At 33.2% G+C, this 27,130-nt stretch overlaps 1 protein-coding gene across 1 annotated transcript in view, besides 1 other annotated feature; it reads right to left on the bottom strand.

The window, feature by feature from the left end:
* The window catches only part of PSMD14 (proteasome 26S subunit, non-ATPase 14), a 103,293-nt gene that overhangs the window by 23,265 nt on the left and 52,898 nt on the right, over positions 1–27,130 (bottom strand). Inside the window, exons 4-8 of the mRNA NM_005805.6 lie at positions 20,904–20,975; positions 20,550–20,669; positions 18,276–18,346; positions 17,131–17,281; positions 2,882–2,989 (exon numbers count right to left, since the gene is read on the bottom strand). Of these exons, the coding sequence (NP_005796.1) occupies positions 2,882–2,989; positions 17,131–17,281; positions 18,276–18,346; positions 20,550–20,669; positions 20,904–20,975 (522 nt within the window). The remainder of the gene's footprint in view (positions 1–2,881; positions 2,990–17,130; positions 17,282–18,275; positions 18,347–20,549; positions 20,670–20,903; positions 20,976–27,130) is intronic.
* Positions 15,504–18,149: an enhancer, noted in NCBI's record as "VISTA enhancer hs2337". NCBI's record gives its function as "enhancer in: forebrain[5/6]" and the evidence as "EXISTENCE:transgenic organism evidence [ECO:0001131][PMID:17130149]".

Here is a 27,130-nt window from a genome sequence, read left to right as displayed (position 1 = left end):
TAAATTTCCAATGATAATATAAAAGAATGAAGCAGTCTGGTTATGAGTACTAGTTCCTACATTACCTCACTGGATTACCTGGGCAACTCAACTTTATGGGCCTCAGGTTTCCTCATGTACTAAATGACTACAATGGCTCCTTTCTAGTGCAATTGTTTTATAACTTATATGTTCAGTAATTACTGAAACAATGTTTTCCAAATAGCTTAACTCTATTAAACAATGCAACTGTACTCAAGACTATACTTAGAGGCTCTTAGCCTTAGCACATGCATCTATGCATCAATATTTAGTAAATTTCCATGAGACTGACTACCAATCTTCAAATTTACTGTGACACTTAAGAATCCAAAATGTCACTGAACAGTTTATAATGGAATAGTTTAAAAAATTTAGTTACTAAAATAAATGCTTGTTAACTCTCAATTCTAAACATTTGAAAGTAATAGCCAAATGTTCCAAGTGCAAAATAAAAATAATATACATTATCATATATTAATATAAAAGCCTAGAGGATAGGCATTATACTTTCTCCTCTCTATCAGGATTATTAGTGGCTTCTATTATATAAAACATGAACGTGAAAATAACCTTTGTCTCTTAGCTTATTTCAACACTGTCAAGTAGTACTTTAAAAAATAACATTTTCTAAAAGCAATATATGTTTCACTGTAAAAAAATTTAAGAAATATGGACAAGGAAAGACAAAAAAATCTCATAATTCTACCATCCAAAGGTAACCAATGCTAATATCCTGGTATAAATATATAGGCACCATCTATAAAATATACACTTGCAGAATGGAGAACTGATATATTCTGTTTTATAATCTTTTCTTACTTAACATATTTGAACTTTCCCCAAGTTATTAAATAGCAGTCTACAGTGAATCATAATTTTTCTCTACTACTAAGTATAAGAGTAAAAAAAAATCTGTTAGAAAATCATTAGTGACCACCAGCATGTGAGCTGATGGCTGTTATCAGACTTTTATCCCTACTACTTGAAAGCTGGTTTAGGAGCAAGGCCCCTCTTAACACCAGCTAACTCCCCCTTCAAAATAAAAGGCATGGCATTTCTGAAAGGTTTCTGATCCCAGAGTTAAAGATCCTGCTAACATAAAATAAAATTCCATTACAGATATTACCATTCCCTTCAGGCTCTTCTGGGTTGCTTTCTAGCTTGTCTTAGAAAAATAAGAAAGTGTATTAAGGTGTGGCTTTGTTCTGTCACTTGTTGGCTTGGTCTCATTTGTGTGTTTTAGTATTGAAATTGTCTTAAAACTGTAGAGCACCCAGATAGATGTCATTCTGGTAGGCGCTATATAAACTGTGAAATAAATATATTTACAGGTTCTAACTGGAAGGCAAAACAAACTAAAATGAAAGGAAAAATAATGATGCTGTAGTTGTTACATACACATGTTGTTTAACACAGGTTTGGAACCTGCTTTATAAGGTGCACTTTAAATTACAGGCTATAAGGTAAGATTAAAAAATACAAACTGGACTGGTATAGAAAAAACACGTTATTAATATTGATTACAGTCGATTTTTAAGGTTAAAAAGCAGTGCTTTAATTTTAAAAAAGAAATCTGCAACAGGTGGTGAGTGACTTGCAATTAGTAAAAACTTCTGGCAGAAACATACCATGTAGTAATCACAATGATCTTGGCTTGTGAGATGCTACTTAACCTTTTGCAAAAAATAATGAAGCAGTATGATGCTACCGAAGTTTATAAGAAAGGTCATTATCAAGGCTAAACAGGTCCAATAATATATTCTCTTGGAACATGCAAGTACAGGCTTGTCTGTACCCAATCAAAACCACTGGTAGCTTATTTCATACACATTATACTTTGCAGTTTTCCTTGACTTGCATTTTTTTTTTTCAAATCAACACACCTCAATCCTTTAAAACAAAACACTTCACTTTGATGAAGATTACAGATGAGTGACTGCCCCAAAATTAAGCATTTAAAAGTATAAAGTTATCAAAGTGTAACCAAGGCTTAACCATGGTTAACTGTCAAAGCCACAACTCCCCAAAGACAACCTCATGACAGAGCAAGGTTTCAGAAGGGAGCAGCAATAGCTACTATAATGTCTTTGTTTTATGTATTCTACTTAACCAAACATGGTATTTCTGTCCTTTTAATTAATCTTTAGAGTAGTAATTAACTAGATAGACACAGACTGTGGTGCGTTTAAAAACACATTTAAAATAATTTTTGCAGAAAATAAAGATTTGTATAAAAACACCATGGCATGTGAATGATACAAAGAAAACAATCACTCAAGAGGATATTAAGTGTCTGAATACCAGTAACTGCAATTAATGGTAATTGACTATCACAATAAAAAACAAGACATAAACTCTCATCACAAGTAACATATGGATGTCTTTTATAGGATTTATTTTAAAGGTGGGTTTTTTAAAGAAGAAAATTTTAAGTATATTTAAGAATTACTTCTAGGGATATCTTAAAATATACAGCAATTTCTCCATTGTTTTCTGCTATGAAAAATACCTACTAATCAAGCAATGATAATAGTTACATCCTTCACCGGAAACTCCTATTGGTCCTTCTCTATAATGTTAACCATGCAAAGCCAGAATGCTTTCAAGATAAAAGATCTACTATGCTCCCAAAAAGGGGGTCCTCAAATATGATAGGAAAATTTAAAGACCCCATTAAAAACTGACTCACATATGAGCAAATCTAATTTTTACAACAGTATTTCCACAATTCTTTTAAAACAAAAGAAAAATTAATTTGCAAGCAAATTAAAATGCTAAGAATTAGAACTTAAAAAGACTACTTATAGCAGGCTTTTAAAATTTAAAAGAGTTTTAACACATTATCAAATATAGGCAATACCTGGATAGATGGCTTGTTTAAGTGACCCAGATTCGAAGTTGTTTGTCTTGGTTCATGTCCTAAGACCATCATATTAGCATTGATCAATCTGAAGGCATCAATAACAACCTGTAAAAACAAGGTGTCAAGTCAATTTTTTTTTAAAAAGCAAGTGATAATGCCAAGCAACAGTGGACAAGGCATGATCGACGTGCATCTGTTTCTGGACTATATCCAGAAAATCATTTAATTATAATATTAATAAAAAAGAACCTCCTGCTGACTGTGCCATCAGCACACCACCCTCTATCTTGTAATGTAAGGTGACACCAATTATTGCAATTTTCATGAAGCAGTAAAGAAAAAAATTAACTTTGCATCTTTATTATTGAAATATGTCATTACTAAACTTACACCAAACAGCTTTCACTGGTGTGCATATGTTTGTCACCTAAATTTTACCTAATCAAAATGAATGACAGAGAAACTAAAACTGAAAGTGAGCACAAGTTAAGGGACCACATCTAAAGCCCAGCCCTGTCACATCAATTACACCACCACAGTACTTGAAATGACAACAAAATTACAGCCAGCAAGGCACTTGCCCACATATTCTCTTCTAGTCAGATACCTTTTACTTCTTGTGACTATGAAAGACTTTATACCTTGTCTGATGGCCTTAAATGTCCAAGCCACTGTCAAGTATAAAAGGCACAATATAAGAAAACCAAGGTCATCCATGCTTTAAGCCAAGAAAATGGTATGGAATGATATGGTCCTAAATTCATGGTAAAGATATTACAATAAGTATATTCTTTTTGTGTGTACAGAAATACTTCAAATTCTCCTATGATACAATAACATCTGTTAGCTCTTACATATAAAGAGATTAACAAGAATCACATACTTGCTAAAGCTTTTCAACACTGTAAAGTTTTATGTAAAGTCATGTGACTTTAAGACAGATTGCCACTTTAAGGGAATTTAACTCAATAGATTTATCACATGAAACAATCTTACAGCAAGATCATATACTAAGTAACAGTATTTCTATATTTTGCCTTTAAAAGTGCTGAACGATTAAGATTTATCAATGTTTTAAAAGCTGTGTCAACTAGATTTGTTCTTATTTATACAATTATTACTTGAGGATATTAAGAGATTAAAAATAGTTAAGCCAACCAAATCTAATCAAGTCTGAAAATTCTGCTTGTAATAAGTATTACTGTATGCTGTATGCTAAAGAACAAGATTTAAAGAAAGAAAATCACCCTTTGTAAAAGATTGCTATGATGGGTCCAAAGACAATAACAAAAAATACAAACCTAGACTAAAACATGATGACAAGTTAATCAGTCTAAGCTTCTGTCTACTCATTCGGCCTACAATATCAACTCTGAATTTTACTTTTATTTTGAACAGTTAACATTTTCCCAAAGATTCATTCCTCTTGCATCAAAATAAAGCCAAGTATCCCCAGAACATGAATTAATAGTTTGTGAAAACTTTTTTCTTTTTATACAATAACCTTAATCCACACTTAACTTTCATGTTTATATATAAATATGGCCTACATGCTTATACTTAAAATTTTTTTCTAAACATATTCTCTTTTTTAAAAAAGCAATAAAAACAAGTACTATCAGACATATTTTAGTCAGATGTTATCATAAATAACTTCAAACAATTGTTAAAAATATAGAAGTAAAATTTCCTCACACTCATACTAAAAAAGAACATAAAATAAGATAAAGTTAAAATGTTGGCAAAGGAGGAAGAAGGTGGCCATTTTCCAAGATAGGTATATAACTTAAATAGAAAATTAAGAATTGCCACCCTAACTGTTAACAGTAAATATTTAGGAGCAAAGCATCATTTTGGCCCATTTCAAGATTTCAGTAAATTCATTTGTGAGAGGGAGAAAAAGCTACTACAAAATTATGAAAATTTCATTATATATCACAACAAAATTCCTATATACTTTTTTATACTGAATGCTTTGAAACTAAAATAGCAGACAGCTATTTTACTTGTAGAAGTCTATATTATTTCTCTGAAATATTATAAGCAGGTGTGAAACTTCATAAAAAGGAAATGAAAATACTAGTTCAGTAGATATCATGATCTGTTAAAAACAAATTTTTTAAATTTTCTTAAGAAACTAAGAGAAAAATTCAAGAACTTAATAAAATGAGATGCTTTCATTGACAATTCCTGAGTAGCAATGATGGCCTATAGAAAATGACTACTTTACACTAAGATTAAAGGAATTTGCTGCCATCACTATAGCAACTGTCTTAAGGAAACTAACATGTTCAACAACCTGCAGACCAAAATTAGATTTAGTATGCAATAAAATATAAACATGGCAATATAGTCTACATTTTAATTTTGGTATAATTTTATAATTGCTTTTTGCACTGTGAAAATAAGTGGATTTATCCTTTAGAGCAACCTATCAAAATAGACTCATTAATGTCCAGTGCGCTAATGAGCAATGGGTGAAGAAGGTGTTAATTATGCCACCGTAAGATTAAAAAAAAAAAAGCCCTAGTGAGCACTCGATGGTGTGTATAAGCTGAAAGCGTTTCTCCATGTTTGTGTATTTACAGCATGATGCAATAGAATGACAGCAAAATGGTCACTCCATGGTTAAGAACAGAAATCTTAGATATAACACACTGAACAAAGAACTCCCAAGAATTAATTAATGTATGGGTTGGTAGGGGAAATAATCCATTTTTTTGAGCTCTCTGAATTTTCTAAACAGTTCATTTTGAAGTATATAGACATTAAATTAGTTCAGTTTATATCTTATAAACTCAAACAGTAACTTAACCAAAAAACTTTACACAAAAACTATCTCCTTAATATATAATAACGAAAACCTCTGAGCTAAAGTATGAAGAATATTTTCAGGAATATGATGCTAGACTTTGAAAAATTCCTTTCCATGCTGAAGGCCTACACAATACATTGAATCTCTATTCACCCGCCTGACCATTTAATTTTTTCTGGTACAAGTGCCTTGAGACTTTTCAGAGGTCACTGCAACAGTAGACAGCTTATAACAAAACCATTAGCAGTTTGGCTAGCTTAGGGAAACCTCTTACTTTCCTTTTTTGTTTATTATCACTGCATGAATCTGCAGCATATGATAGTTTATAATTTCTCAGGCTTGTTAAATTCATGTTAAAGGTCTGTTTTCTTGTTGAATAAATTTTGTTCATATAATGCTGCCTATTTCATACACTCAGTCTTTAATAGCACCTTTGGTCTATGCGCAACTCACAGATCAAAACAGAGGACTAAAATAGGGGTTGATGATGCTATTTACATGTGTGATTCCTGCTGTCTTCTTGTTAGTAGCTTTAATATAATAGAAGACCTTGTCTGTTTTGTAATTAACACATCTTTACTGGAGAGATATTTGGAAGTGATTGCTGTGAATATACTGGTTAGTAAAATAAACACAATCACACACCACTTTCTGTTATCAGACAAATTTGTGAATTGTACACATTATACTCCAGATCAACAAACTGTGATATAACAGCCAAGTAGAAGACACATATTTATATAACCCTTTATTTTTCTGAAAATATGTATTCACTCTGACCTTGCAAATATAATTAGCTTGTGGGATGTGCAGATTTCAGTACCATGGTTGCTTTACTAATTGCAACTCTTGGAAATAGATACTAAATATTTGGAAGCTGCCAATACAAAATAAAAACTGCATGTTTTTTGTACATCTGTCTTAGATTATAAAAGCAAAATAGTTTTAAAAACAATACTGAGTTCCGTATTTATTCCAAGCATGCCCAAGGGTCAAGGATCTATCATTTCATTTTAATGACGAATCTGGTTTATTACTTAAAACTCAGTTTAAACCATAATTTTTTGGCTTCTTTCATGAGTAGAATACAGTTCATCCAATATGCTATTTATTTTAAAATTTGTGTTTTCATATCAACTGCTAGGTCACTGAAAGACTAGACTAAATTTGTAAAGCACCAATCTATAGTTCCCAATTTTTACATCCGAAGGAAGCTATTTTTAAGCAAAGCTCTTCAAATTAGTTTAATACAAAGCTGTTTTAAAAAAAATACACAAACACTTCTGGCAGTAGCTGTAATTTTTTTCTCTCTCTCTTTTCAGTAGTTGCCTTTGGTCCAGTTGCACTTATATTACAGTCAGTGACTATGGGTATCTACACAGAGTAGAAGTAATGTTTTAAGAATTTATGATGCATTCATTTTCTTGAGCTTAAAAATGAAACAATCAGAATCTTCCATAACCTCAAGTCAGCTCACTATATATATAATGTATGTATTATATATGTATACCTATATATTATATATAATAAAAATTATTCAGTTCATCATATATGGGGTAAACATAAGTGACGAACTGAAATAATTTTTAAAATCTTGAAAAAAATTTTAAGACCTCAAAATCAATGTCAAACACTAAAAAGAAAAAAAGTAAAAATTCAGTTACTAGTTAGATTACATATTTTAAAACATAAAACCATCACTATATAAAGTAAATCTCTAAATGATTATAAAAATGAAAGGTGTGGAAAGAAAGGCAACACTTAACCCATATCCAATACTCTTTATCACCTAGAAATGACCTGTTATCAACTGCTTAGGTTGTTTCTAGATTCTTTAAAAATTAAGAGTGCATGTGACCTGGGAAGTACTGCTGGGGTTTGTGACCATTTCGTTACTTCTGCTGCCATGCACTGCCAGACATCTATAAGAGAAAAACATCTTATGTCTCTTGTAAGCCCACAGCATAAAAAATTCAGAGAAATCTTACTTTTTATGCCATTTCCAATGAAAATCACTAAGAACTAAAACTGACTCATGCCAAATGCATATCACTGAATTGCTGTGATTTCTTAGTCTCAAGTTTGCAACACGGAAATTATTTATAAAATGTCAATTTTAGCTCTGGAAAAGAAATTCCTATGTGTATGTACATTTTCTTTCTTCATCCTCGGAGAATTGCTTACTGTAGCTAAAGATCTGTAGTACAACTTCAGTATATTGGGAGAAAAGGGGGATGGGGTGTAACTTGCATAATTTACTTTTTTTGACAAGTGAAGACATGCATCAAAATTCAAAGAGTAAATCCACAAGTTTTGAACGTATATGCTTTAATGAAAACAAATCGATCTTTAGAAACTAGTATGGTAAAAGGTAATTAGACATTTTTAGATTCATGAAACACTGGGAAAAGAATTTACTTAAGTTATAATAAAAATAAAGTTTCACAGAAAACTTTTCAACATATGCATGTAGTCAGTATGGTGTAGAGGTTTAAATGCTTGAGGCACTCTGGAGTCAATCCTGCCTAAGTTAGAATTCTGGGTCTATCACTTACTAGCTAAGGGACCTCTAACAAGTTATTTAACCCTTCAATTTCTCCATTTGCTCATGAATGACGATGCCTCATAGACTTGGTAATAAAATAATATATATGTTTCTGCCACTGTAGTTTTCAGTGTTACTAACTGTGGCACTGATGGAGTTGCCCAGCTCAGATCTTTCAACAGAACCTGCTGTGGAGCGCATGACTGACTCACAACCTCCAGCTTTTACACCTTTGGCTCTACTGGGCATTCACACCAGGTCATACTTCTCCTGGGCAGCTCCCTGCCAACAACTGAACACAGCAGTGGTACTAGAACCTAGCCATTCCTGCCAAATAAGGGATTCCTCTAAAGGCTAATTTTGGCTCAAGGACTCCCCAGCAGCCTGGCTGAAATTTTCTGAGCACTAGCTGCAGTCTGTGGTTCTTCTACCCAATCTACCTTCACTTTCTCCTTTGCATGGTCAACCCTTCACTGCTGTCTGAAGGCTCTCCCCTTTCTCCAACATGGGTGTCTCCCCCAATAAATCTCTTGCATGTCTAATTTCATTTTGGCATCTGATCCACAGAAGACCCAAACTGATACAGTTAACAAAGCAGAGTACTGCTATCATGAAGAGTGTTAAAATTGGAAAAAAGTTACCCTAAAAATCAAGTTATAACTATAAATTTTACATCAAGAGACACCTGACACATAAAAAATAGGAAATTAGAGAGTGACGCTTTAAGATATATTTCCTTAGGGAAATTCCTAATTACAATAAGAAAGTGTATAGTTGTACTGAAGGTTATTATCTCTCTTTTAAAAATGACTGAATATGCCTAGAATCTTGATACTACTCCTGCATGATCGGTGTTTCTACACTCACAAGTGACAAATAAACAGTGAGCTTAAAATTGAACTCCTCAGGGCACTACTAATAAGCTACAAGAGACTATCACCTATGGGTCACTAGTCTGATATCAACTTAAGAGTGTCAATTCTATCTAGTGGCTACTCAGCCTACATAAAATGGAACCAGTGACTTCAGATCCCTTTCTAGTGGAAAAATTAAAACAACTCGTTTGCCTGTTGCCAATTCCATATAAAGCAAAGCAATAAAGGGCCCTAGAGAACAAAGATGGGCTCAACTTTGTTAGCATGGCAGTAGAGCATGTGGATGAGAATAAAGGACCTATATACATTGCTTGTGCTGTAACACCACATTCAAACAAAAATACAAAGTATATCCACTGGACTACTGTCTCTCAATAGGCAAAGGCATTTTAGTAGGAAAAATATGTAAAGGCCAATTACTTTGCTGTGTATCACTTTGTGTATTTTTATTTTGCTTATCAATTAAATACTATATAGAAATTATCTTGCTAATCCTCTCAACAAACAAGTGTAGGTATTAATATTATCAATTTATGGATGAGGAAACTGCAGTGTAGAGAATTTAAATCAATTAAATGAAATGACACAACCAGTAAATGTTATCACTATGATCTGTACCTATACAGCATGCCAAAGCCAGTACTCTTCATCATAAAGCTGTTTGTTATAATAGCTGTCCTGACACAAAACCAAGAAAGGACTACTACTAGGTTCAGTTATACTCAACAGCAAGGTTTGTGTCTCATTCGTCACTGAATATCCATTCTGTAACAGAGTAAGTGGCACACAAAATACAGTGCAAAATAAATATCTATTGAAATGAAAACCTCAAAAAAAAAGAGCACTTTTGGTTACTATGCTATAGAAATTTTTACCACTTATGTTTATTTTTCCTTAAAGGAAAAGAAAAATATCCATTATCTATAAACAAAATCTAATCAGTAGCTTGTTAACAATATAGTCTTTACTTATCACTGCTCAGTTCTGAGTTCATGAAATACTTTTTTGTGACATGCTAAACTGAGAAACTCATAGAGCACTGACATGTATTTAATTTGGATTTAAAACTGCATATGGTAAAGCTATATGGAAAGTGAAAAGTGGCTGTAAACATCTATTAATCAGCTTACTAGTAGCCTAAAAATCACAACTGAGGGATCAATTATGACTGAAGAAAATTTACCACTTCATTTTTACCCTCTTTAGAAAATTACAATGACAAGAAGACATTAAACCTGACAAAACTAAGTCCCAGGTCCAGAAATATCCTCACAAATAACAATGGCTAATGTCACATCTAGAATGTGATCTTTAAAAATTAAAATATATGGGCTCTGAAAACGCCTCTCAATCAAAGTCATAGTTTCCACGTTTCCACTTGCTGGTACAAAACTGGCATTAAGGACAGGGAGTAGATCGTATTCTTCTCTATAATTCCAATGTACTCTTGGCACAAAGTAGTGATCAACAAGTGTCTGTTGAACCAATGACCAGGGATAATTAGATGACTACAGAGAGAAAAGCATTCAAGAAGTGAGAGTCAATAAATAATATTCTTACAGGTAATGAATGATGTATTTTTACTGAAACAGTTGGATTCAAACTAATTTGAAGCACATTTACATCATTCAAAATGCACAGCAAGTAGTAAAGCATAACAAATTAGATCAGAGATTATATTATTAATATAGAAGCTCTAGGTTAAAAGAACTCCATAGGAACTCTTACCTCTATATACGACTTATGCTCTTAGAATTTTAAAAGTAAAATTATTTCTACATTCCTAGCAGACAATTTCTTATATCAGCTAAATAAATGTGATAAACTATTACATGTTATTCTATCATAAATAGTATAGGCAAATTAGTACCTATAATATTTTCTTAGCTGTCCTCACAAGATCTGAGAGTGTTATAAAACTTCAAACTGATAATAAGAGTGAAAGACAGGAAGCAAACAAAAGATAATACAGTAACAAAACTTGTTCCAAGAATACCTTGGAAGGGTATGCTCATAGAGCTATGTCAGGAATGGAAATAGATTTCTTTATGTATTCGATTTCCTATTTTTCTCTTTCCACCTGGAAAACTAGACAAAGAAAAGAGGTGTGTATAATTTATGATTAGGACTACCCAGCCCTAGCTGATAGTCGTGGGATACTGATCAAAAAATTATCTTATAAATATAGCAGCTATGCTAAATATCTTTTCCTACTTTTAGTAGACAAATGACTATTAAACTTGAACTCTAGCTCTAATTTTACAGGGTTCAAATTGATCAAGGATAATGTCCATGAGTAAACTGGCTAACTGACCTTGTCAATCACACGTTCCAGTCATTTAATAAACGACTCTATGCTGACATATAAAAAATTAATAAATGTCACAAAATTAACTGCAGTTTTTTGGATATGCTAAAAACTAAAAAAAATAGATTTGGTAGTGGCTGAACACTGATGCAAATTCATTCCTCGATTTTATTTTATAAACATTTATTAAAAAACTATTGCAACGCACTGAATTCCAAGATATGAATTGGTATCTCTCCTCAAAGAAGTCTCAGTCTTGTGGGGAAGACAACACAGACAGATGAATAAAATACAAAATGGTTAAGTGCAATACATTAATCACCTCATAGGCCCAAGTTTCAAAGTAATATATTCACTTCCTTTTCATCAGCATGCCCAAGGAAAATATCTTAGAAAATGGTAAGTGCTAAATAAAAGTAGGCCAATCAGAAGAGTATTCCTAGATTAGTTAGCATGCACAAAATATAAGAAGGGAAGTCTTCATTTCTTTTGTAGTCATTACCATATTCCTAAATGTAGCAAATTAGAGATTAATTTATGGGCTTGTTCTTATCAAAACTTGCAGAAACATTCACATTCTATTTTTTTAATATTCTAGTTCTTGATCCTTTTAAGTATGAATTATGTTAATCTTCAGAATAAAGTATCATTTATTGCACACCTCCTAATATGACATGTGTACTCTAATCTCTACATATATTACCTCATGATAGTCATAATGCTATGAAATAGGTACTAAGATTCCTGTTATATAGATGAAAAATCTGAAGCTCAAGAAAATTAGGTAAGGCTTGTTCAAGGTCACACTGTAAAGAGGAGATAAAAATGGGATTTTAATGCAGGCCTGACCCCTAAGTCTGTGTTCTTTATTACTCTATGCCCTCTCTCTCTATATGAGAGAGAGTATATATATATATATGTATATATATACATAGATATATAAAATAAGAAGCTCAAAAGAAGACTACTATTTGAGTAAACTGAGTACTTAAAAACCTTCACCATCTTAAAACTTTCTAATATAAAATTTCTTGGAAAAGTAAAATATTTGCTACCCACCCCTGAAAGAAAAGACACGACCTTCTAGATATCTGAAAATAAAGGGTATGCTCTTACAGCATTCATTCACTAACTTTTTATTTTAATTTTTTTAAAAATTAGAGACAGAGTTTCATCATGTCGCACAGGCTCGTCTCAAACTCCTGGGCTCTAGCGATCCACTCACTTTGACCTCCCAAAGTGCTGGGATTACAGATGTGAAGACATGGTACCTGGCCACATTCCCTAACTTTCTTCCTGTATTTGTATTTATTCTCCAAAGCCCCATCTTTTGTAAAATGCTAGTTGTTTAAACAAATTAAAACCAATCAAAGCACTCATTTTACATTCTAATATCTGTGGAAAAAAGAATGAACAAAGAGGTAAGTACCACTTGGAATGATATTGTTTCTACATTCTTCCCATGAGGTACAAGCTCTTCTTTTCTCAGTGATGTCCTGCCTACCCCTCAAAGCTCAGCCCAAGCTTTATCTACTTTGTGCAACCTACAACTGATTTCTCCCTTGTTCTAATTTTAATTTGCATTTACTGTGTTTGTTATACAAGTAATACTTTATTGTATACTGGCATATACAAAATTCTGAATAAGTATTTGTTGAATTATTTCTGTCTCTAGCAACCAACTTAATACTTACAGAAACAAGCAATTTCAGTATATTTTGTATCAGTATGCAATGTAGGTTATCAGTATATAATTGGCAGAATAAGATCTTGCTCACTACTAACACTAAATGTATATAATTTATCTTCTCAAAGAACACAAAGACCATTTTTTAAAATTCATTTTGCATCTTAGAATCATTAGCATACAGATCAGGTACACTTAAGAAATACCTGCAGATAAGCTGACCTGCAGTTAGATAAACATCACATTTTTTAAAGTCCATTGAGTGTTTTGATCAGATTAAATAAAAATGCTTCAAGAAAACCTAACCAGTGGAAGACACATTTGGACATAATTAGTCATTCCTTTTTTTATGTTTTCAAAACAGAGAACAGACACAATGATTGTTAGGAGTTAGTTAGCTGGTAATAACTGAGCATTTTACTAACAGGAACCCATCAAGGAAAATGAGTTCTCTAAAGCAGTAATGCTTTTTAATAAATATATTACAATATCCTAATTAAGTTGTATGCTAGTTTTATGATTTTGCCCAAAGTGACCATTCTTTTTGCCTCAAGAAAGAAGTATAGTCACATTACAAGTTGAATTAACTTCTAAATTTGCTGCTGGATCTGGTTATGGGCTGAGTATACAAGATAATACAACATTCAGCAGGAGGTCCCCACTGTGCCACTTGAGAACTAAAGTTTAAAATATGTAAATATGTATATTTTACAAATGAACTAAATGCTGCAAGCGGACCTTATAAACTATTTCACTGATTAGAGCAGAACTCACTGGTAACTTCTGTGAGCTTACTCTCCATTTAAATTATGAATGCAATTACCATTGATTTTCACCTGTATCATTTTAAAACATTTATAGTACTGTACAATATGCAGAGGGTTACAGATTCTTTATCATATAGTGTATTTCATTATTTATGTTGATTTCAATGTTTACTCCTAGGGATGTCACAAAAGTCAACAGGAATAAGTCTGTCTAAATTGTTTTTTAAAATTAATTGAACAACACATTTTAAAAAATCAATTAATATATAATACATAATACCTACAGAAAACTATGGAAAACTTAGAGGAAATGTACAGCTCTTTCCCCTGACTTATGCTGAAGAGAGTGACACCTATCCACAGTAACTTAAGGAATGGCCTCACAATGACCTCTGGTATTCATTTTGCATTCTGCAGTTACTCTGATTACATCATTCATAGTGGTTTAATACTAAGGAATTAAAGAGCCATTAAAAAAGCCTGAGCCCTGAAATTTTACAGAACTGGATTCATATCTTTGTTCTGCTGCTAACTCATGGTCTGACTTTGGCAAAGCAATCTCATTGGCCCTAATTTTTTTTTTTAACCACTAATAACATGTAATGGTAACAGGGCCTATCTTTAGGATTATAACAAAGAATAAATGAGATAAGTTGAAATGGTTATTCACAATACCTGGCTCACAGCAATTATTCAATAAAAATATAATCAAGTCATCATAAAAGAAAATCAAACTATTGTGAATGAATTGAGATTACCAAGAAAGAATCCAGGCTTATCTAATTTCTCAAAGACAGAAATATTGGAATTTATAAAAATGGAAATATACAAAATGTTCAAGAAAGTGGTTTTATAAAAAGCGAACAGAGACCCAACTTAAATCATTTATATATAAAATGTCATTTTAATTCTTGATCTAATCATTGCCTTACTAAATATTTTGACAGCTTTGATAAATCACACGCAGGAAAAGGGAGAGGGAGACTCTTATACTATTCTTCATTTTTATAAGTTTATATTCCTAAGTATCATGATTTAACTAAAACACTAACTAAGGATTTACTAGCATTTAATCTGATTCATAGAGATGAGAGGACTTGACACTGAAAGAACCATAAATTACAATCAAACTCTGACTCCTTAAAGATGAAGTTGCATTACTGACAAAGAACTGGATCCTTATTTCAAGAGATATAATAGTATGAATCTAGACATTAGGTCCAACAAGTGATACAAATCATCAATGATAGATATTTACACTAAATTTTTTCAAAAAGATTTCTTCCTAACATACAAAAGTAGACAGTGATACATATGATTTCATAAATTTTAGATATATTATTTTTTAAAAACTAAATTTAACATTAAGACGTGACACATACATATTTTTAAATGAAATTCATCATTTTAATATAAATTACAATTAATTAGAAATAATGAAAATTCCAATATTTTACAATACTTAAACTAGGTTTGGAAACTAAAATTGCCATTTTAAACATTACAAAAGGATAACCAAAAATAAAATACATACTCATTTATTTACATTTACATTTATTTACTCTATTTTGAGAATGCATTCTTTCATTGTGTTTATGTTTATACTTTCCTTTTTCAAAGTAGCCACCATCACATGAGTCAAGATATCATAAAACCTAAGTTGAACTAATACTACAAAATAGAATTCTAATTATATTTAAAATTAAGCTTTAATTATTACTTGTAAATATTGTGGTAGGGGACTTTATTAGATAATTGTTATATTTGTAAAACAGTAATCATTACTTAAATGAATTACTTACGAGTTACTAAAAAGGTACCTTAAAATAGAGAATTAAACTTAAGAGGCATCAAATATAATTCATAAAGCTAATAACAATCAAGGATTTTTCAACCTCTTTTATCTATATGTTGAGTAACAACACATATAGTTAAAAAAAAGTAAATAAATTGAAATATAGGCATATAGCAAGAATCAGAAGCTATCCATTCTGAATGGTCTAGTATATCAGTTTCTATTACTGTTTTTGTGGATAGTTTTTGCCTCTGAAAAGCTAAATCACACCTAATAGGATCATGATTTAGAGAAGACCTCAATTTTTATACATGATAATGACATGATGTCAGAAAACATTCAACTTCAAATTTATGACAGATAAAAACTCCGTATTTTAACAGCCATGTTTAGTTTTTCTGCTGGTGAGCAGATATAAATGTAATCTGCACTACTATCAAACTCCAGGTCTGATAGATAACAAGCTAATATTTATTTCTAAGTACTCTAAAAATTATTTGTAAAACCTGCATAAAAAGGATTGCATAAATATATTGTGATTTTATTTTAACAATTATTCTACACTACAATGGAAGTACATGCTCAAACAAGACACCTCAGCAGTATTTTAAAGCAGTAACCACCTAGCCAATTTCTGTATGTCTGTAGTTTTTCTAATCCACTCTCCCTGTGGTTGAGCAAAATCGAATTGCCTCTCACATTTGCAGACAGCTCTGTGAAGGTGATAATAGAGCTGCTCCCTGCTGTCATGAGGCAGGAAATAGGAAAATGGCATATGGGGCTAGAAAGAAAGAAATAAAAAAAAAAAAGAAAGAATGAATGAACAAAAAAAGAGAAAGAGAACTAAACAAGAACAAAAGGGGTTTCAACAAAGAACTATAACCCAATATGCTTTGCAAGTTAATCTGTTTTCAGAATTATTTAGCATATTTAATCATTCATTTGCGTCCTCACTCCAAAAACGTGAATGGTTGATACCAAGTCTTTGGGCAAGTTTTCATTGTCTAAAATATTTGGAAAACACACCTCCAGAATATGTCCTGCATAATGTCTGCAAAACAATGCCCTTTAAATAGATTTTTAAAATGTTGTGCCAATTCCAAATTCATCATTTGAAAATAAAGGTAAAGCAATGTTTATTTAAATATTAATAAAATGTTTATAGCAGGCTTTGAGTATGGTTTAACTTTCCTAATTTTATGAAATTCAAAAAATTTAAAGATAAATATTCAGGAAAATTACACAATAAGTGATTAAAGAAGAAATCTCTAAATAAATTGCTAATAATACCAAGACACAGTTATCAACTTGTACAGTTTTTTTGTTTTTTAAGTAAACAGACAGCAGCTTTCTGTGTAATTAAGAATCCTGCTTTGAACAAAATTGATTTTTATTTAATGTATCTGTAAACAGAATGTGGCAGTAGATGGCAATAAAGATAGAATCTACTCTACCTTTCCTTTTACACTCTGAATGGGATCCACAACCACTGCCACAGCTCTCTCCGACAAGGCTTCAAAGCTCTGCTGAGTGTTGATATCCACACCAGAAAGCCAACAACCAAAGCCAGGGTGACTGTGATACCAACCAACAACCATCTCCGGCCTGAAACAAAGAGGGCATTCAGATGCTCAGAACAGAACAAGTAATACATTTATGATATGAAAAGAAACAACACACTAACGGGGTATAAATTAAGAAGAGATGAAAAACACACAGGTGTGAAAAAGCACCATTAGAAACCCTGAAATTGTACACCATATTATCCAGAAAACATGGAAATGAATATGTGTGACAAAGGAGTGCTATCATTAAGAGATGCACATTAGCAGTGGTAGATAAGGCTTTCAGTTTTTCACCTTGTTACCACAGTTTCTCAGAGCCAGTTTTTACCCTTTCAGCATTCAAGTAAATATCTACTCTTTAACTCCTTAGCTCTGGGAGTTGGATTTTCCAGGCACAGAGTACATTTTTAACAATGGACACCAGGATCCACTGTTGTGAAAGGATTAAATATCAATTAAACCAGCAGTAGAACTAGGAACTCAGTCAAAAACCAATTTGCACTGTTCTGCTCAGCTGCTGAGCCTTTTGCTAACATTAATTTTGAAGTTGTTTCCACAGCAGAAGAATTTGAGCAAGAGAATGACAACTATTGAGAGATTTGGTCTGAGGAAAAAACTTTAGAATATTTGGATTATACTTTCTCTGTCTTTAAAACTATGCCTACAAACATAATTAAATATTCATAATCTCATTCAGTTGCAACTCTCAAATACATGGAACATACAAGCTCTTTCAATTATAAGTGACTAGACAGTAACTCCATATGCTAAACAGAGGGAAGCTACAGCCCAAGCTTACTATGTGACAGTCAAGAATTTTAACATGAGGCAGTTCTCTGATGGGCAAATTTCTCTGGTTCTAAAGGGAAGATATACTAGACAGGTGGTGCATGGCACTGATATTTACAGATACTTTTATGTCAATTACATAACCACTTTTTCTAGAAATGACATTGATAAACATCTATAACTTTGAGGTATGTTTCTATAAATATTTCCCATTATTTCTTTAACTGATCATTTAAAATGCTTACCTTCCTGTCTGCTTCAACATATCCAACATTTTAGCTTGGAACACTGGATCAACTGCCTCCACACTGACACCCTGATTTAGAAAGAAAGAAAAATTATTAATTTTTGTAAATTTGGAAAAAAAGCTTCCCTATGTATATTATTTGGGGTTGCCAAAATCATTTTATAGGTTTTGATACCTACATTTGATACCTACTCAAGTCATTCAATTATAAACCTCATACCAATCAAGCTTCTAAAATTGCCAACTACCAAACTGCTGTTGGCGATCGAGTTAAGCCCACTTTCAGGATTCTTTAAGAGTATATGGCCATTGCTGTGTATATGTTTACCAGAAATACGAAATAATTGAACCAACCATAACTATTGGTTAGACCTATTTAGGCAAGCATACTTCCTAATGCCATCCTATCATAACTGATGACTAAAATGAGCCTCATCCAAAGTTCTACAAATATTCAGCTATCATAATGAAACAGCCTCAAGTCTCTTACATACAGCATTATTTTGCTAGTTCAACCAAAATAAGATATTTGAACAGGAAGAATTAAAAGGTTCAGATCATCTCTCTGGCGATAGAGTACTGTCTTTATAGCTCCCAAGGCTTTCTTCTAACCTCAGGAATCTAAATCTAATGTACTTAAAGAAACTAGTTAACATAAGCACTTCCTTCCCACCAAAACAAACAGTATGCATATTGAATTCCAACAGAGAGTACATCCTCAAGAACAGGGGTATGCAATCTGCTGCTTATAGGCTAAGAATGTTTTCGGTTTTTTTCTTTCTTTTCATATATATACTTTAAAAGGACTGTCTTAAAAAAGAAGAAGAATATGCAACAGAGACATATGTCTTTATAGAAAAAGTTTACTGACTCTGGGGTCAGAAGAAAAACTTTCTAATTCTATGACACTAGAAAATAGAATTAGAGTGAATATAGGGATCAAAATCTTTTATTTTATATTGTCAAACAAGCATTTACATGGAAGTAATGATATTAAAGCCTAAGAACAATGTATTATAATGGGTATCTACATAAGTACCCATAACATATATAAGTTAGTTTTATGTGTTTCATGTAGCCTAATATAAAAAGACAGATACAAGTAATAAATAGTCTAAGATTTAAATCTAAACCTTTGGTTAACATGTAGAGTGTTTCTCTATTTCCAAATGTATAAAATAAATATAATGGATATCAAGATGGATAAAATCAGTAGATCCAAATTAGTTTACCTCAACAAATTCATCTATTTAGAGAAAACTTTACATTATTTTAAATATATTGCATTCTGTAGCAAATATTCTATTTTAAATGCTTATTTTTAATATACATACTATATATATTACAGTACTTAAAATTGTAATTTGTTCTCCAGCATCTACCTTATCAAAGTAAACTTACAGAACTTCGAATAGAACTAACAGCTTTATAACAACAATTTCTTTAATCCTTCTTTTACAAGGCTCAGTAAGAGAAATATTGCCTAGCAAAGAAGAAATATCGCTTGGAAAAATACATGCATATTTTTCTAAGCAAACAGGTGAGAAGGATATATGTGCTTTTTTTGGAAGGTAGATGGAATGGTTATTGTTTTTTGGCTATTTTCTTTCAGTCAAAATGCACATCTATCAACACAAGTCTAATGCATCAAACAAAAAGGCAAAACAAAACAAACATCTCTAGAAAGAATAATGTATTCTATACAGGTAATTTGTATGGAGTACGGTGCATATAAACAAAATACCATGCCTGGGAAAAAAATATTCAGGTTTGCTATTGTTTTGTTTTGCTTTAACTTAACATTTTAAATAAGAAAAGCTTAAAAAGTCATTCATCACCATATATAGAACATTTTTTAAATGACATATTTCAAAACAATGGGAACAAGACATAAGAACCAGTATATGTGAGTTGAAAATCTAAATTAAGAGAATCTCAAATCTTTTGAACACTTGGTTCAAAATCAAACTAACACTCTGCTATTATAGGGTAAGTAACTTTTAAATCCAGTATTTTACACCAGTTTAAGCCGAAGGACTGAGAAAAGAAATTTAGCATTAGCATCATTCAGTTTGTAGACCTATAAGAAGTTATGCTGCGTTTTAAAGATTAATGATTTAATTCAATACAATCTAAAAATTTCTATCAAACTTATGATTAATTTTTCCTACTGGAAAGAGAAAATGTAATATGATGAGAGTTAGTTTGCATAGGAAAAGAAAAATGAAAAGAAACACATTTACTTGCAGCAGGCAACCATAAAAGTACTCACTGTTCCTGACTGTGGCATAGCAAACACATCAATCACTCTGACGGTATAATCATCAACAAATTCTCCAAGCATCAAACCCATAACTTCCATTGGAACTCCAGCACGGCCATGTTTTAACATCTGTAGAAAGGAAGAGATGTGGACACAAAGCAAATTTCGTTGAGGTCTCTGGTTCTTCTTTATAAAACAAAAACCAAATTTTGTTCCAGTGAAAATAAAAACTCCTTTTATAAATGTACCTAAAACAATAGCTTATTTATGTCTGAGAGGATTAAGGTGACAAATATTCCAAAGTAAAAGATACAGTGAAAGCAACAGAGTTCTCTAAAGCAAGTAACTACATTCATTACCTACTTTTAACAGTGCCAGGGAAGAGATATAGACTTGTTCTGCTGTGTCCACTGCAGGAGCATCTGTAGGTGGCCCCTAGAAACAAATACATCAATTATTATTAAAACAAACACAGAGTTTATGAGTTTAAAATTCAAGTTACATGTGGTATAAACTTGATATTTTTAAAATAGTTTTGCAAAACATGTCAAGTATCCTTTTATTTGGCTATGACATAATCAAAACACATTTGCAAATATCAAACCTGTAGAAAACAGGTAAAACTTAATACTAAGCCAAGGGTCTAATGGACATAAAGTTTAAGTCTTTCGGCAATGCCAATCTACCTTGGCTACAACATGGCTATAATGTACCAATTAGCCACATTTGTTACCACAGTGTGTATATGTGAAATGCTGTTGGACTAGCACAATTAACTAAAGCATCAACACAAACAGCAAATTCTTTGAGTATTAATAGATTAAGGCTATGGGATTCCTCTGCAAATTCATCACAACAGTGGAGGAGAAGGGGAAAGAAGACTTCTAATCCCTGGGTGAAAGAGCTGTGAACAACATCCTCTGCATGTCACCTAATGAAGCTGTTCCCCTCCCCCTATACAACAACAAATTTAACACAATTGCCCCAGGTGTGAACAAACCAGTTGAGACAGGTATAGCTGACGTGAAAATACTTCCAAAATCCTAACCACTACCTTTAAAACAAGTATTACTAAGGAAGACACTATGTTTCTCCTTTAAGGATTCTATCTTCTTCCTGAAAGGAAGCAAACTTCTCTTGACTATAACATTCACCTGCACAAGGTAACTGACATATAGTTCTTACCCTCAAGATGCCTATAATCTTATAAATGTGATTCTGCCCCACAATTAGTGCACCTAAAAAGCTTCTTGTTTTTTAATATTGGACAATCTGGGAAATTATAATGAGATATGACTTATAATTGCCAGGTCGTGTTTTGCTTAAAGTTCCCTTTCCCTGACAATAACTCTATTACAAATTAGGTAAACAACATGTTACCTTATCCAAATTGTAAGCCATGTTCTCTCTCCCATTTATACTTTTACATACTAAAAGTAAACAATTGCTTTACATTCCATACATATAGGTCTATGTGTACTTTGTGCTTTTGTGTGTGTGTGTGTGTGTGTGTGTGTGTGTGTGTTAAATTCTATTACTTTGTATTGTTTTAAAAGTTCATATATTTACTGGAAGCATTAAGTATAAAAGGTTCTAGAATAAGTTTTCTCTAAATAAAATAATTTTGTTTTTATTTACTTTTGTTCAAAGTGGTGGGAAAAATCAAGTCCCTCAAATTTAATTTTCACCATAAATGCCAGGCAATAAAGTTGGAAACTGACCAAATTCTTCATCTATTATCACCTAATGCAGTTTTATTGCTTATTTTTCAAATAGCTAAGATCTCTTTCAGAATGAAAACTCTGCTAAAGTAAAGTAATAACAGGCCAAAGCATCTTGCTGAAGTCATCATATAAACCTAATTTTAGTGGTATGATAATTTTACTCATTTCACTTAGAAAGTTAAGAAAGATTAAGGAAAAGGTGAGGACAACAATAAATTGGTTGTGATGAGAGGTTTGGGGGAAGTAGTAGTAACCTTAAAAGGTTAGGATAATAATAAGGTTTCAGTTAAACAGAAGGAATTGATTCTGGTGATCTACTGCATAGCCTGGTGACTACAGTTAATAATAATGTATATTTCAAAATAGTTAAAAGACGACTTTAAATGTTCTCAGCACAAAGAAATGATAAATATTGAGGTGATGGATATGTTAGCCTTATGTGATCACTCCATAACATATATATTTATCAAAACATCACCCCCCACCAATATATATAATTATTTGCCAATTTAAAATAAAAGTAGAAAAATAGGTTAACGAACACTGTATTCATAAAATTATTCCTGAATCCAGAGCAATCTTAAACATTGCATATGGAGAAAGAAGTTAAACTGGTATCTTGACACAGCCTTTCTCAACTTGCCTGAAAATATTTTTTTTTAGAAAAAAAGGGAAATAAAACATCAAACCATCACCAAAATGCATTACTGAAAGAATCCAGAAACTATTTCTGCCACCAAAGAAGGAAGAAACACTATTTTCTTCAATATTATATATATAACCAGTACTTAGAAAAGTGCCTGGGCCATAGTAAGAACTTAATAAGTACTGATTGAAAGAATGAATGAATAAATTAAGGTACTACTGCAAGCCAATGGAACAGAAAAGAAAAATACCAACTAGAGTTACCTCGAGAGAGAGGAAGCAAGCCACATGTCAGTGGCCTTTCTTCTGATTCAGAAACATACTAACTCACAATGGATTTTCTTCTGATTCAGAAACATACTAACAAGAAAGCCATGTACTAAGAGAAGACTATGCAGCTGTTTATTGTATGAGTGCTGTTTTATTTTTGGTTTTTTTTAGACGGAGTCTCGCTCTGTCACCCAGGCTGGAGTGCAATGGCGCGATCTTGGCTCACTGCAACCACTGCCTCCTGGGTTCCAGCGTCTCTTCCTGTCTCAGCCTCCTGAGGTGCTGGGATTACAAGGGGCATGTCACCACGCCAGGCTGATTTTTTGTATTTTAGTAGGGATGGGGTTTCCCTGTGTTGCCCAGGCTGGTCTCGAACTCCTGAGCTCAAGCAATCCACCCGCCTTAGTCTCCCAAAGTGCTAGCATTACAGGCGTGAGCGACTGCACCCAGCCATGAGTGCTGTTTTTAAAACAGCAGCCAGTGATACTGCTGCCCCTTTCACTACTGTGGGCAAGAACTAGAGAAGGTTGGTACCAGTGAAATACTGCCAGAGAGAGAGAGAAATCGCATATAATACACCATCAATGGGACAGATACTAAAGACCTCAGCCAGCAGTGACTAAGGCTGTTGTTTTCCTACATGCTCACCTGTTCAGAATAGCAAAAACCAGGCAACAGAAGAAAACCCCATTAAAGACTCGAAACTGAGCTCAGAGAGGTATGTAAGAACATGAACAGCTGATATGAGGGGAGGGGGGCCAAGGCAGGGCTGGGTAGAGGAGGGTGTGGCCCCTGGCTAAGGCACCACCACCAGGCCTGCGCTCATGGACCTAGGTGAAGGTATTTTTGTTTTCCTCCCCAAATGTTGCATTTCCAAGACCACCCTGGCCTGCCACTCCCCCATGCTGTGTCTATTAAAACTCCCAGACCCTAGCAGGCAAAGACACAAGTGGCTGGACATTGAGAGGAACAGAACACATAAGCAGAAGATGATACTGGCAGCTGAACATGAGAGAGGAGCACATCAGCAGAGGGACACACAAACGGCTGGACGTGGAGAGAAACCACTGGGGTATGAGCAAACCAGCACGCAGGCAGGCTATCAACCAGCAGAATGAAGCAGAGTCTGGCCAGGGCAGTTGGAGGACAGCGTCCTGACTCCAGTGGAAAACCATCTCCCTTCTGGCTCCCCCATCTGCTAAGAGCTACTTTCACTCAATAAAACCTTGCACTCATCTCCAAGCCCACGTGTGATCTGATTCTTCCAGTACACCAAGGCAAGAACCCCCAGATACAGAAAGGCCTCTGTCCTTGCAGTAAGGCAGGGGGTCTAATTGAGCTGTCTAACACAAGCCACCTATGGATGGCTAAACTAAAAGAGCACCCTATAACACACACCCACTGGGGCCTCAGCTGTAAACACTCAATCCTAGACACTGCTGTGGGGTCAGAGCCCCAAAGCCTGCCTGTCTGTATGCTCCCCTAGAGGTGTGAGCAGTGGGGCACTGAAGAAGCAGGCCACATCCCAATCGAATGCCCTGTGAAGGGGACAAGGGAACTTTTCCCATTTCACAGCTACAGATCAAAGATGACCCAATTAGCTCCCAAGATGAGAAAAATGTGGGGCTGTGGACCATCTACATACATTATCTTTTGGCAAACACTCCTGGGGGGCAGTATTCTGGTGATTCAAAAAGAAAGTCACCTAAATATAGGAATCATGAACAAAATTTTAGAAAACTATTTGACATCAGTAAAACAGAAGTTCCTTATCTTTGAAACAGAAAGCTGGAGGACAGACCAAGATAAAAAGATGAAAAATAATTTAGAATTAAAATCACACTAGGAGAAACAAGGGTAAAAGTATTATAACAAATTTAATTCAGTGATATACAATATAAATTTCTAGATGTCCCAAAATGTACAGTAAAAAGTTAGAGATGAAAACTTTTAGAAATATAATAAAATTAGAGCAGCAGTCCCCAACCTCTTTGGTGCCAGGGACCAGTTTCATGGAAGACCATTTTTCGAGTTTTGGGGCAGGGAGGATGGTTTTGAGATGAAACTGTTTCACCTCAGATCATCAGGCATTATAGATGGAGCATGCAACCTAGATCCCTCACATAGGTGTTCAAAATACTGTTTGTGCTCCTATGAGAATATAATGCCGCCACTGATCTGACAGGAGGTGGAGCTCAGGCAGTAATGCTCACTTGCCTGCTGCTCACCTCTTGCTGTGTGGCCTGGTTTCTATGGTCACAGACTCATATGAGGACACCTGAATTACAGGACAGACAAGAGCTCAAAGCTAAAAAATAGAGTTGTTTCTAAGGCTAAAATAAACAGAAACAATAAACAAAGGCAAAGCTGAAGAAAATTTTCTTGAATTTAAAAAAAAGTTCACCTTTGGGACCATCATATGTGAGGCAATAATCAATGAATAAAAAACTGTATCTTGAGAAATCTTAGCTAAATCTCAATTACATAAAGTAAAATGTCTAAAACCATACGAGTAGAGAAACCAAACAGCCTGCTGGGAAAAAAATGCAACACAGGTTGACTTTGGATTTATTTGCAACATTAGATGGCAGAAAACAATGAAGCAAATCTTCAAAGTTTTAGGTAAAAAACTGAAAGTAAAGAATTTTATACTCAATTTTTAAAAAACATCCAAAGGCCCACAAATACATTACTAAATGTGTAAGGGCTCAGAAAATAGGATTCCATATATTTTCCCTGAAAGAGCTTCTTGAATAAAAGATCCACTTGAGCATCCCACTCCTCAAATAAATATTAAAAGCTAAAAAATGGAAGAGTCGTCATATAAAGAAATCTGTTACAACCACTGAATGCAGTTAAAAAGATATAGATATAAATAATGTAAATAATCAGGATCCGAATCCACCATTATCCAGGTAACTATATAGGCAGGAGGGAGAAATGAAGTATACAATATGCTCTATCTTTTATAGTAGGGGAAAATACAGATGTAAGTGTTGACTTTACTATTCTGGAAACATAAATTAGTTTTTTGAACAACTTTAACCACTGTAAAAATTAAAAAGCATGTAATCCCAGCTACTCAGGACGCTGAGTGGGAAGATGGCTTGAACCCGAAAGGCTGAGGCTGCAGTGAGCCATGGTTAACCACTGCACTCCAGCCTGGGCAACAGAGTGAGACCCTGTCTCAAAAAAATTTTTTTAATTAAAATTAAAAAGCAATGTACACATTACTAAGTCACTGGGGAAGAAAAACCAAACACAATACTGACAGTAAAACAACAGTAGGAAATCAAGAAAGAAGAAAAAAATACCAAGCAACATAAGGTAAGATCAAATATATTAGTTATGAAAACATATAAATGGATTAAAGTCCCTTGTTAAAAGATAAAAGCCTCTCATAATGGGTTTAAAATGGAAATTCTTGTGTATGCTGCTTACGAGTAACAATTAAAACAAAAAGACTGAGCAAAATTTGTCAATGAGATACCAACATTTTTTGTTTAAAAGAAGCCACAATGGCCACTGGTTCACTCACCTTACCTTTCTTCAGTGGTGTATTACATTAATATTTCCCACTATTAAATCATCTTTGTACTTCTAGATTAATTGTTCATGTTTTCTTTACTATTTGTTCATTTATGTTTTCTTTTTCTCATAAGTGAGATTGTTCTGGCATTTTTGTGTGTGTGAAATTTGCCAGGTTTTGATATCATTATGTTAGAGTTATAAAACAAACTGAAAAATTTACAAGTTTCCCAATTACAAAGTTTTCCATTTTCTATTTTCCAATAATATGTATGTGAAAAAAAAAATCTATCCGTGTTTTTCAATTTTGGAAGTGTTCATTATTAAAACATTTGGCTCTGAGGCTGTTCTGTGGCTAATTGTTATAATCTTTTCAGTTGTATTGATAAATTCAGGTTATCTATATCTTGAGACTAGATGAAC

This window comes from Homo sapiens, chromosome 2 (genome assembly GCF_000001405.40).
Source record: "Homo sapiens chromosome 2, GRCh38.p14 Primary Assembly".
NCBI classification, from domain to species: Eukaryota; Metazoa; Chordata; class Mammalia; order Primates; family Hominidae; genus Homo; species Homo sapiens.
Note: the sequence above shows the minus strand (reverse complement) of the source record. Positions and strands in the feature narration are given on the sequence as shown.